The sequence below is a fragment of the Homo sapiens genome, chromosome 7 (genome assembly GCF_000001405.40).
Source record: "Homo sapiens chromosome 7, GRCh38.p14 Primary Assembly".
In the NCBI taxonomy this organism is placed as follows: Eukaryota; Metazoa; Chordata; class Mammalia; order Primates; family Hominidae; genus Homo; species Homo sapiens.
In genome coordinates, this window is record NC_000007.14 from 153077711 (window position 1) to 153089554 (window position 11844).

Sequence of the window (11844 nt, forward strand, 5' to 3'; positions counted from 1 at the left end):
ACGTGGACTACTTCTTCTTCCTCTTTTTCTTTTTTTTGGAGATGGAGTCTGGCTCTGTCACCCAGGCTAGAGGGCAGTGACGTGATCTTGGCTCACTGCAACCTCCACCTCCCAGGTTCAAGCGATTTTCCTGCCTCAGCTTCTCTAGTAGCTGGGACTACAGGTGCGCATCACCACACCCAGCTAATTTTTGTGTTTTTAGTGGAGATGGGGTTTCACCATGTTGGCCAGGCTGGTCTCAAACTTCTGACCTTAGGTGATCTGCCCGCCTTGGCCTCCCAAAGTGCTGGGATTACAGGCATGAGCCACCGTGCCCGGCCACATGGACTTCTTCTCTCCAGGGTCACCCCTGTGTCTAGTAGGCGGTCACTAAATGGTTGTTGGATAAGAAGTTGAATGGGTGCTTCAGTGGGTAGACATCCTTGTCAGCTGAAGAGGACGGGAGGAGCTGTGTGGAAAACATGGGTTCTGAGTGAGTTCTGCTGAAAGAAAGGGGAAGATGGCCACGTGGGAGAAAAGGAATTGAGTGTTAGGAAGTTTTGTCCCTGGGAAGAAGCAAAAATAGAGCATGCTCTAGTTTTTGACATTCAGGCCATCCTGATCAGTCTGGAGAGTTTATAGAGGCTGGAGAGCATTGAGAGAGGAAATAATTTGACATTGCAAGGCAGTGTGGAGTCCTGAAGTGCAGCACAATGGTGGGCACTCTTGGTGCTCCATCTAGACGCCCTTCTGACCCCATTCTCTTCGCCAGGGCTGTGTACGCATCCCCTGTATGTGTTTGGTTTATAGCAAATAAGGCTGCCAGGGTTAGCAAATAAAAATATAGGAGGCCCATTTAAATTTAAATTGCAGAGATATAATAAAGACATTTTAGTATACGTGTTTTCCATCCAATATTTGGAATATATATATATATGTGTATATATATATGTATATATGAAAACATTATTCATTGTTTATCTGAAATTTAAATTTAACTAGGCATTCTGCATTTTATCTGGCATTCTCACTGCAAGCAGCCCACAGCTGTGACATCCTTATGAGGATGGTTCTTTGACTAGGGGCTGCCTGCTGCCTGGCCTTGTAGAGACCAGAGGTGTCTGAGGGTTTACATCCCCTTGGGGTCAGCCAGAGCCAGTGACTCATTGGTAAGGCAAGTACGAAAGCTTAGCATGGCTTCAGAAAGGGACGAAATCTTTTTTTTCCATGTTAAGATAGTTAACTAACTTTAAAACATTTTATGTATGTATGTATGTATGTATGTATGTATGTATGTATGTATGTATGTATGTATTTGAGACGGAGTCTCGCTCTGTCACCAGGCTGGAGTACAGTGGTGCCATCTTGGCTCACTGCAACCTCCGACTCCCTGGTTCAAGCGATTTTCCTGCCTCAGCCTCCTGAGTAGCTGGGATTACAGGCACATGCTACCATGTCCAGCTATTTTTTGTATTTTTAGTAGAGATGGGTTTCACTATTTTTTATTTATTTATATGAATTTATGAGGTACAAGTATCATTTTGTGACATGCACAGATTTCAGGGCTTTTAGGGTATCCATCATCCACCAGAACATTGTACCCCCATTAAGTAATCTCTCATCATCCACCCTCACCACCCCTACTTTTGAGTCTCCAGTGTCTATTATTCCACACTCTATGTCCACGTGTGCACATTATTTAGCTCCCACTTATAAGTGATAACATGTAGTATTTGTCTGTGTCTGATTTGTTTCATTTAAGGTAATGGACTTCAGTTTAATACATGTTGTTGGAAAATACATAATTTTATTCTTTTTATGGATCAATAGTATTCCATTTTCTATATATGCCACATTTTCTTTACCCTGTTTTCTGATCATGGGCATGTAGGTTGATATTCATAAAGATATTCACAATATCTTTGCTATTGTGAATAGTGCTACAACAAACGTATGGATGTAGGTAGCTTTTTTACATACTGATTTCTTTTCCTTTGGGCAGATACCCAGTAGTAGAAGTGCTGGATTGCGTGGCAGTTCTATTTTTAGTTCTTTGGGAAATCTCCATACCACTTTCCATAAAGGTTGTACTTATTTTCATTCTCACCAACAGTGTAGAAGAGTTCCCTTTTTTTCTACATCCTCACCTATATCTGTTATGTTTGGTCTTTTTATTAAAAGCCATTCTAACTGGTGTGGTTTTAACTTGTGTTTCTCTGATGATTAATGATGTTGACCATTTTTTTCATATGTCTGTTGGCTATCTGTATGTCTTATCTAGAAAAATGCCTATTCATATTCTTTGCCCACTTTTTAATGAGATGATTATTGTTATTTTTTAGTTTAGTTGTTTGAGTTCCTTGTAAATTCTGGATATTAATCCTCTATTTGATGCATAGTTTGCAAATATTTTCTCCCATTTTTCAGGTTTGCTGTCCACTCTGTTGATTATTTATTTGGTGGTGGAGAGCTTTTTAGTTTAATTAAGTTCAAGATGGGAAAAAATCTGAAATGCATTTATATATCAGGGCTCCCTGTGGCCTCAGACGGAGGCTGTGACTTTCCCTGGAAATTTCCTCCATGGCCTGCCTGGTTCCCATTCCTCTCCCTCCTTGTTCCACCCCCTTAGTGGTCTGTCCTGCAGGCACTTCCCTAATAAATCATGTGTGCCAAAGTCCCCAGCTCAGGGTCTACTTCTGGGGGATCTCAACTAAGACATAGCAGAGTGCAGCAGGAAAGAGTTTTGGGATTCAAGTCTGAAGATCTAAGATGCCCCATTATTTAATAATCATATGTCTTGGGCAAATATTTCTCAACATTTTTGAAACAAGGCTAATATATCCATTTTTAAAATCACCTCCTCTTCACACTGTGCTGAGGCAGGGATTCTTCCCCTAGGGTTATGGGGATGGTGAAACACACAGCACCCAACACTGGACAGATGAGATTGACAGCACATTATCAATCACATAGACTCACAGCCCAGGGGAAGGCAGTGCCACATGCCATGAGGGCCACACAGTGATTGTGCTTGGGAACAGGATGAACAAGCAGGGGATGTAGGAGGCAGGCTTTGTGGTAACAAGAGGGTGAGGTGTGCCTGGCTCCTGCAGGAGGCTGAGGCTGGCTTGTCTGAATAATTGCACAGGCTGGCAGGGAACTGACACCTGCCACTCCTGGATAGGCAGGGCCTGTGCCAGGCCCTTGTGACAGGGAGGGTTGTTTGGCTCCGGGATCTTAGCTGTAGGAGTCGAGTGCGTGGGGAACTTGGAGCTAGGCCATTTGGGGCCTCCCAGTTTCACCAGATGACCCGTCAGCACCTAATCTTGAATCTTCATTTCAGACCTTAAGTTACTGCCATCCCCTCCTCAGAAGGTTGTGATAATGACAGAGATGGGATCACAATGTAAAATCAGAAAGCACTTCATGAGCAGAGAATGTTGTAAGGAGGAGAGCTGGAAGCTTTCAGGGATAACTTACTTTCTTTCCATACCTCAAATCTGAAATTTTGATGTTGCTTTACAGCTATACATGAATGTTTTAAGTCTGCCACTGTGAGTGTGGGTGAAGCAGAAACCTTCAGGGTCATTGCTCATCTGTAATTCAGCTGTGTCCTGCTGCCTACCTGCCAAGCTGCACCAGGCTGAGCCCCTGACAGCATGAAAGAGAATTTCTTACTTAGGTTGTTCTCTTTTTTTCTTTAAAAGAAAAAAAAATCCCTAAATAAACAACAACAACAAAAAATCCCTCCCCCCAAATATTCCCAAAGAACTGGGGGGAAAGTCACGTTAGTACCAGATGTAAAAAATAGGGGCCAAATACAGTATCACCTTTTAATTAAAAAATCATTTTTATGTTCAACTGTCACAACCCTTTTCCTTATTTAAACATTTTAAATGAAAACTAGAGTGTGAGTCTACTCCCCAGATCCGATGGCACTCATAACCCTCCAGAGAGTAATAGCCACGATCAATTACATGGTCGACTTGCTGGGCGTAATGGGAGGAATCTACCCAGGTAGTGGAGCATGGGGAATGTGAAATGTAAGCGCTGGTGAAGCATTTTACTCGGGCTGAAATAGAAGCAATTCAGAGCTTCGGGTGGAATCTTTACTCTTGATTTATAAGGGGAGATTAAAGAAAGAAGCCATGAAGTAATGCTTTATGGATTCGTAGATGAGGGCATGGAGCAGAATACAAAATGGAAAAAAAGTTTAGCCCATAGTCACAAGGCCTAGATTTGAGTCCTGACTTTATCAATTACTAACTCTGCAAATTTAAGCTGGTCATTTATCCTCCTTGGGCCCCAGTTTCTTTCTTTTGAGATGGAGTTTCGTTCTTGTCACCTAGGCTGGAGTGCAGTGGCACAACCTTGGCTCACTGCAATCTCTGCCTCTCGGGTTCAAGTGATTCTCTTCCCTCAGCCTCCCGAGTAGCTGGGATTATGGGTGCATACCACCAGGCCCATTAATTTTGTGTTTTTAGTAGAGATGGGGTTTCACCGTGTTGGCCAGGATGGTTTCAAACTTGAACTCTTGACCTCAAGTGATCGGCTCGCTTCGGCCGCCCAAAGTGCTGGGATTATGGGCATGAGCCGCTGCTATGGGTCCAGCCCCCAGTTCCTTTACTTATAAAATGGGTACATTTTTATTTGATATTAATAGGGAATCCCTATTACTCTCACTGGATTGGGAGGGTCAAATGATACAAGATAAGAAAAAATATTGTGGCTTTTTTTTTTTTTTTTTTTTTTGAGATGGAGTCTCACTCTGTTACCCAGGCTGGAGTGCAGTGGCACAATCTCGGCTCACTGCAAGCTCCACCTCCCGGGTTCACACCATTCTTCTGCCTTAGCCTTCCGAGTAGCTGGGACTACAGGCGCCTGCCACCATGCCCAGCTAATTTTTTTTTATTTTTAATAGAGATGGGGTTTCACCGTGTTAGCCAGGATGGTCTCCATCTCCTGACCTTGTGACCTGCCCACCTCGGCCTCCCAAAGTGCTGGGATTACAGGCGTGAGCCACCGCACCCGGCCAGAAAAAAATATTGTTTTAAGAACTGTACATGCATTATCTCTTTTTGTTCTGTTATCCTCAGTGGTAGCTGTGGTAGTTTGGGAGATGGGAGTTCCGTTCATATGAGAATCTGGGGAGGGATGTGAGGTATATGTTTTAGACTTCTTCTCAGCCTAAAGAGTATCCAACATTGACACATCGCCAAACTGAATTATTTTCCTAAAGAAACTTGAAGTCGCCATGGAGGAGGAGGCAGCTGGAGACCACTCAGCCACACTGCCGCGCAGCAGGGCGGAGGTGATTCCTACAGCGTGCATTATAGATTAAGGAGCTGGGCGTCTTGGGGAGTTGCTAAACAAGGGTTAGCCAGGGAGAAGGTTTAGCTGCCTCTCATCTCTTACCCCTGTGCAGAGGTCAGGGGAATCCCCAGGCCAGGGGAATGCCTCTGTCCAGGGGTAAGAGATGTGAGGCAGCTTACCTGTTTTCTGCTTGAAAAGGGAAAAAATTGCAAACAAAAAAAACCCTAACCCCAACCCCAACCCCAACCTGAACATGCCGTGAGCAACTTTCCAGAGAGGAGCTGCCTCTGCTCTCCCTTCTTATAGGGCAGCCCAGAGCAACCTTATAAGTAGGAGGAAAGAATGACCAGGTGGCCATTCAGCAGCTGGATTAAATGACAGATGTTTACAGGAGAAATCTGAAAGAAACAGCTGTCCAAAGCCCTTCGTGCCGGGCGGGGAGCTATGGGTCTCTCAGGAAGCTGAGGTGCAGTCCATGCTGCTAGGAACGAGGTCCCCAGCTCAGTCCCCTGAGGTGGCCCTGCCTTGTCAAGGCAGCTGTGAATCAGCTCCCCGGGCCGACCTCCAGTAGCACCGTGTGCCACTGCCAAGTGCTCATGGGTGTGCTGGGAGCTGGCGTTGCTCACGGGGAGCAGGTGAAGCTGCTGCTGGAGCCGTCTCTGGGCACTCGGGTCAGCCCTTTCTCCAAAGCGCACTGGCACGGGATGTGCAGCAGCCGCAATGGAGACTCACCTGGAAAACATCTATTACTACCCTATAGGAGGCTGTTCTTGCCTTGCTACTAAGCAATACCTGAGGCTGGGCAATTTATGAAGAAAGGAGGTTTAATCGGCTCCCAGTTCTGCAGGCTGTGCAGGGAGTGTGGCGCCAGCATCTGCTCTGCTTCCCGGGGTGAGTCAGGAAGCTTACAGTCGTTGGGGGAGACAAAGGGGAAGCTGGCGGATCACATGGCAAAAGCAGGAGCAAGCAAGGAGGGGAAAGAGGCCACACGCTTTTTAAACAGCCAGATCCTGTGAGAACCCACTATGGAGAGGGCAGCCCCAAGGGGATGGTACTAAACCATCCATAAGAAATACACCCCCAGGATCCAGTCACCTCCCACCAGCCCCATCTCCAGCATGGGGGGTTACAGTTCAACATGAGATTTAGAGGGACAAATATCCAAATTATATCATGCCCCCAGTTCACGGAGCTGTGAGCAGGGCTGTGGGCTCAAAGGTAAGCTCAAGAATGGCCTCATGTTGAGAAAGAGAATCCCCAGGTGCCGGGATCCCCCCCCCACCACTCCACAGCCAGGTGAGAACAGGAAGGTGCCTCTGCCCCTTCCACAGCCCCTGGTGTACCTCTGTTGGATGTAGGGCCTCCCTGGAGAGCTGCTTTTTCAGAGGCCAAGCAGAGCAAGAAGGATTTGTGTCTGTGTTTTCCTTTCTGAAACATCGGGCATGTCAGCAGCAGCGGGTGCAGTGAAGCGGAGCTGCCTAAGAGACTTTGATGGGGCGATCGCCTGTGCGGGCCTAGGGAGGGCTCTCCTCCCAGGGCAGGGGCACTCACTTGCACAGCCCAGAGCCACCCCACACTTGATCTCCAGCTTAAACTTAAAGCACATGCAGTCAACACAGTTGTTAGGTTTTGCAAAATAACCCACACACCATGGGCCTGACACTCTTATTTGTTCTGTACCATCCTCTTTTTTTTTTTTTTTGAGGCGGAGTCTTGCACTGTTGACCGGGCTGGAGTGCAATGGTATGATCTCAGCTCACTGCAACCTCTGCCTCCTGGGTTCAAGCGATTCTCCTGCCTCAGCCTCCGGAGTAGCTGGGATCACAGTCCCCCACCACCACACCCAGCTAATTTTTTGTATTTTTAGCAGAGACAGGGTTTCACTATGTTGGCCAGGCTGGTCTTGAACTCCTGACCTCATGATCTGCCCACCTTGGCCCCCCAAATTGTTGGGATTACAGGTGTGAGCCACCGCACCCGGCCTGTTCTGTACCTTCTTACTGAGTGACTGATGTGTGAAAAGCCGTGCATCTTTAATACATACAACTTGATGCATCTGGGGATATGTGCACAACCATGAAACCCTCACCACCATCAAGGCCATAAACATATCCATCACCTCCCAGAGTTTCCTCCTGGTCCCTTTATTATTATTATCACCAATGTTATTATTACTTTTTGTGGTAACAGCAGCCTTGAACAACATTGTGGTAGACCTCATGGATCTAACATATTTGCAGAACACTCCATCCAACAGCAGCAGGAGACACATTCTTCACAAGTGCACATGGAACAGTCTCCAGGGCAGATCAAATGTTAGGCCACAAAACCAGTCTTAGTAAGTTTAAGATTAAAATCATATCAAGTATCTTTTTTGACCACAATGGTATGAAACTAGAAATCAATACCAGGAGCAATTTTGGAAAAGTCACCAACATATGAAATGAAACGAAACACTTCTTCACAACCAATGGTTCAAACCACAACCGATGGGTCAAACAAGAAATCAAAAAGGAAATAAAAAATTATCTTCAGGCAAAGGAAGGTGTTATGTAGCTTTTTAATAGGACCTTCTGGGTGGTGTGAACCCCTCAGTTACACACCTAGATTTCTAAAAACTAATGGCATTGAGAGGGGAGAGAAGGCGCACAATTGACTTCAGTGTGAAAGTGTTCTGGGGAGCAGAAAGGCAGAGAAACGAGTCATAATGTCAGGTTGTCCGAGGCCGGCAAGGCTTTATCTTCCAAGGGATCACACAGTGCTAAGAAAATGAGAAAAGGGAAGGAGTTTCTGAATGAGTCTGCTGACTTGCCGAAACCTGAGCTACGAACACTTGGGGTCAGGAATAATAACTCCTGTGCTGGGATATTGGGTTTTCCGTCTCTCCTAGCTTCAAGGATAAGGTAGTGGAGTTAAGTTAACCCGAGGTCTTAATTTTATTAAATGATCACTGCGGTGCAGTGGGTTGAATATGGGATTCAGAAATAGAAGGTTTGGCTTCATTTGGTCCACAAATAGTCATTGCTGTGTTCACAGATTGGTACACAGTGATGTATAATAGCGGAGACAGACAGATTGCAAGCTCTGTGACAGCGATGACGAACGTGGGACGTGAAAAAGCATGGTGGGATGATCCCGGGCAGGAGATGCTATTTGCTTAGTCATTTGTTTATTCATTCATTCAAATATCTATGCACTTACCAGGATGTGCAGGTACCATTTTGGGCATTGGAAACACAGCAGTGGGCAAAACAGACAAAAAAAAAAAAGTGCCTTTATGGTGTCGATGATAAAAAATAAAACAGTAAATGAGATGGATTTTGCTTAGTTGTGTCATGGAGAATAACTACGCGGGAAAGGAGAGAGGGAGTATGGCAGAGATGGGAGGGTGGCATTTTAAATAGGGTGGTTAGGGGAGAAGGAAAGGGTGGCCAGGGGCACCTGACCTGTCACTGGGCAGGGAGGAGCTGAGGACGCCGGGGCTGTGACCTCGGCCTGCTCCTCTGACCTTGTGCAGCCTCCTTTCCTCCACACCTGCAGTGGTGGCCTTACCTCCTTCGCCAGCCCCAAGGGCGTGAGACAACCAGAGGCCTGGAGGATGAGCATGCGCTATTGGAATGCCAGTTATCACCAGAGCACGACTTTGACATTTGATGGGAATAAATGAAAATGTTGAAAGGCTGTGACAGATACTGGAGGCTTTTCTGAATATTTGAGTAGAAGTAAAATAACAGAGCCCCGCGGAAAGTTCACACCAGCAATCAGATAAGGCAAAAGTCAGCAACTAATACATAATTCCAAATTAAACTGTCCGCTTGAAGGGGGCCTAGGCAGGTTAGGCCCGGAGGCAGTGTTAGCCTTAGAGATGGGATTCCGTAAGAAAGGTTAAAGATGTCAACACAGCAAGCGTTACTGAGAGCTCATCCAGCTCTGTGCTGTGGAAGATTCAAACAAAGCAAGATCAGGTAAGAGTCTAGAATCTTAGGAGATAAATGTGACTCAATAGCTTTAGAGAAAAACAGAATAATTCAAGACTTCTGTCTGAACTCTAAGATTGGGGCTTGGGGGATAATTCCCGAGCACACAAGGCTAGAGCTTGATGACTTACATAAGTCCACGTGTGATCACCCAAATACTTTTGGGGCGGATATTAATCTTTGAGTCTGTATGGATATGAATTCAAATATAGATAAGGCCTGTCCAGCTCTTTCAACTATATTCGAAAGCTTGAATTCAGGAAATGAATATAAGCTGGGGGCAGAACACTAGGCAATGTAAAGTACTGTTATCCCTCAGTGTTCATGGGGGATGGGTTCCAGGACCCCCATGGACCCCAGAATCCACAGATGCTCAAGTCCTTTCTAGAAAATGGGTGTAGTATTTGTGTGTAACTATGCACATTCTTCCATGTCCTTTAAATCATCTCTAGATTACATATAACACCCAATACAATGTAAATGCTATGGACAGAATTGTTATGCTGTATTGTTTAGGTAATAATGACTAGAAAAAATGTCTGTATGTGTTAGCACAGATGCAACCATCCATTTTTCCCCCGGTATTTTTAATCCTTGGTTGGTTGAATCTGTGAATATGGAGCCCACTGATAATAACATAAAAAACAAGATTCTTATTCATGATTTCATAATTTTTAGGACCAGCTTATTAACGTTCAATCTTAGGTTCCTGAATTTTGGCAGTCTGCCAATTGGGTGATTCACACTGGCCGGTGGATGGGATTTACACTCTGCACTGGGGGCTGCAGAGGACCTAGAGGAGAAGGGAGGAAAAGGACCAGCCATGGGGGAGATTTTGGGGGTCTGCGCTTAGAGGGTCAGTGCAGGTTTGGAGGAGAAGGGGGGGTGAGGGTCTTGGGGTGAGTGGTAGGAAGGCCAATGAGTCAGGTGCACAGGCTGCACGCTGTTCTGTCCCCCTAGCCCTCCAGGCTCGGCACTGTGGACGCTGTGCTCCCTGAACATGCAGTTCAGAACATGACTTCTCCAGTTTGATAAAGAATCAATCATTGGTCCAGACCCAGCCACCTTCAGCCATCACCAAGAGGCAGGGCAGTTGAGGAAATGGGGTGGGGTGGAGGGGAGGGAGAGGTGGGCACAACAGCACTAGCTGCTTTCAAAACTCATATAAGGCCCCTCGTGGTCCTCAAAGCCACTGTGTCACGCTGAGGGAGAGCAGGTGGGGAAGTGGAGGCGGGAGAAGGGCAGGACCGTCCTGAGTGGCAGGGCTGCCCGAGGTCATCAAGTGCATCTGCAGCAGCCAGTTTGCTAAGCTTTGCTAAGTGCTCTGCCACGTGCTGCCAGTATAGACGCAGAGAACTCATCCGGGAGGAGACACCAGGCCTGCGAGAGAGCGATCCACTAAGATCATGCAGGTGTTGCCCAGTACTGCCCCGGGAGCTGTGTGGCTCTGAATTGATGGGTGTTGTTGGAAGGAAGCCTATGTGGGAAAAAGTCACGAGGGTGGGTAGGGGGCTTAGGCTGAGCAGGGAGGGGGTGGGACATACACAGACAAAAGGAAGGGGTGACTTAGAGCCTCCTGGATGAGGACAGGTGAGGAGGCCCACCGTCCAGAGGGAACAGGTGGCAGGCAGGACTGCAGCCAGATTCTATAAGACATGGTCATACAGAGCCCCGGCTTTGGTTTCTGATCTGCAGACAAAGGGGAACCACGTGAGATATTGAGCCTTTACATGGCGCAGGTAAGTGATTCCAGGAAAATCCCCCTGAGAGCAGATTGAAGGGTATTTCAAAGAAAAGAGAAGATAAGGGGAACCAGATAGGAGGCCATGCAGCAGCCCCGAGTGACGTAAGTCAAGCCAGGAAGGGGAAGTGCTGAGTGATGGTGCACAGGTGCCTCTGAAGGACTTGGTGGCCCTTTGTCCAATCCTGAGAGTAAAGGAGGTGGAGCAGAGAGCCCTCTGGGGTTTCAAGGCTAGGAGAAAGGCTGTCCATTAAATGAAATGGGATCTTTAAAAAGTCTGGATCTTGGCCAGGCACGGTGGCTCACACCTGTAATCCTAGCACTTTGGGAGGCCTAGGTGGGTGGATCACTTGAGGCCATGAGTTCAAAATCAGCCTGGCCAATATGGCCAAACCCCATTTCTACTAAAAATACAAAAATTAGCTGGGCGTATTGGCACACGTCTGTAGTCCCAGCTACTTGGGAGGCTGAGGCATGAGAATCCCTTGAACCCAGGAAGTGGAGGCTGCAGTGAGCCGAGATTGTGCCACTGCACTCCAGCCTGGGCAACAGAGCGAGATTCCGTCTCAAAAAAAAAAAAGTAAAAAAGTCTGGATCTTAAAATGATAAAATAAGGATTAAAAAATAAATAACATTGCAGTGTTTTATCAACCTAAACAACAAACAGAGGCTCTCTAAAAGAAATTTGTTTGGAAATAGAGCATTTGCTATGGGAATCCACATGCGACAGTAAAGGGCGTGTGTATTCAGGGAGGTAAAAGAAGACAATGGTTTTTAAAGGAGAAAATGAGATTCCATAATTGTTTTGAAATAATTATCCTTGGCTGCAAAGAT

General features: G+C 46.3%; 2 annotated features.

Moving 5' to 3' along the window:
* Positions 5393-6241: an enhancer, noted in NCBI's record as "H3K27ac-H3K4me1 hESC enhancer chr7:152780188-152781036 (GRCh37/hg19 assembly coordinates)". NCBI's record gives its function as "activates a minimal SCP1, AML or CMV promoter by ChIP-STARR-seq in primed H9 embryonic stem cells {active_cell/tissue: H9 hESC(primed)}" and the evidence as "EXISTENCE:reporter gene assay evidence [ECO:0000049][PMID:30033119]".
* Positions 6242-7088: an enhancer, noted in NCBI's record as "H3K27ac-H3K4me1 hESC enhancer chr7:152781037-152781883 (GRCh37/hg19 assembly coordinates)". NCBI's record gives its function as "activates a minimal SCP1, AML or CMV promoter by ChIP-STARR-seq in primed H9 embryonic stem cells {active_cell/tissue: H9 hESC(primed)}" and the evidence as "EXISTENCE:reporter gene assay evidence [ECO:0000049][PMID:30033119]".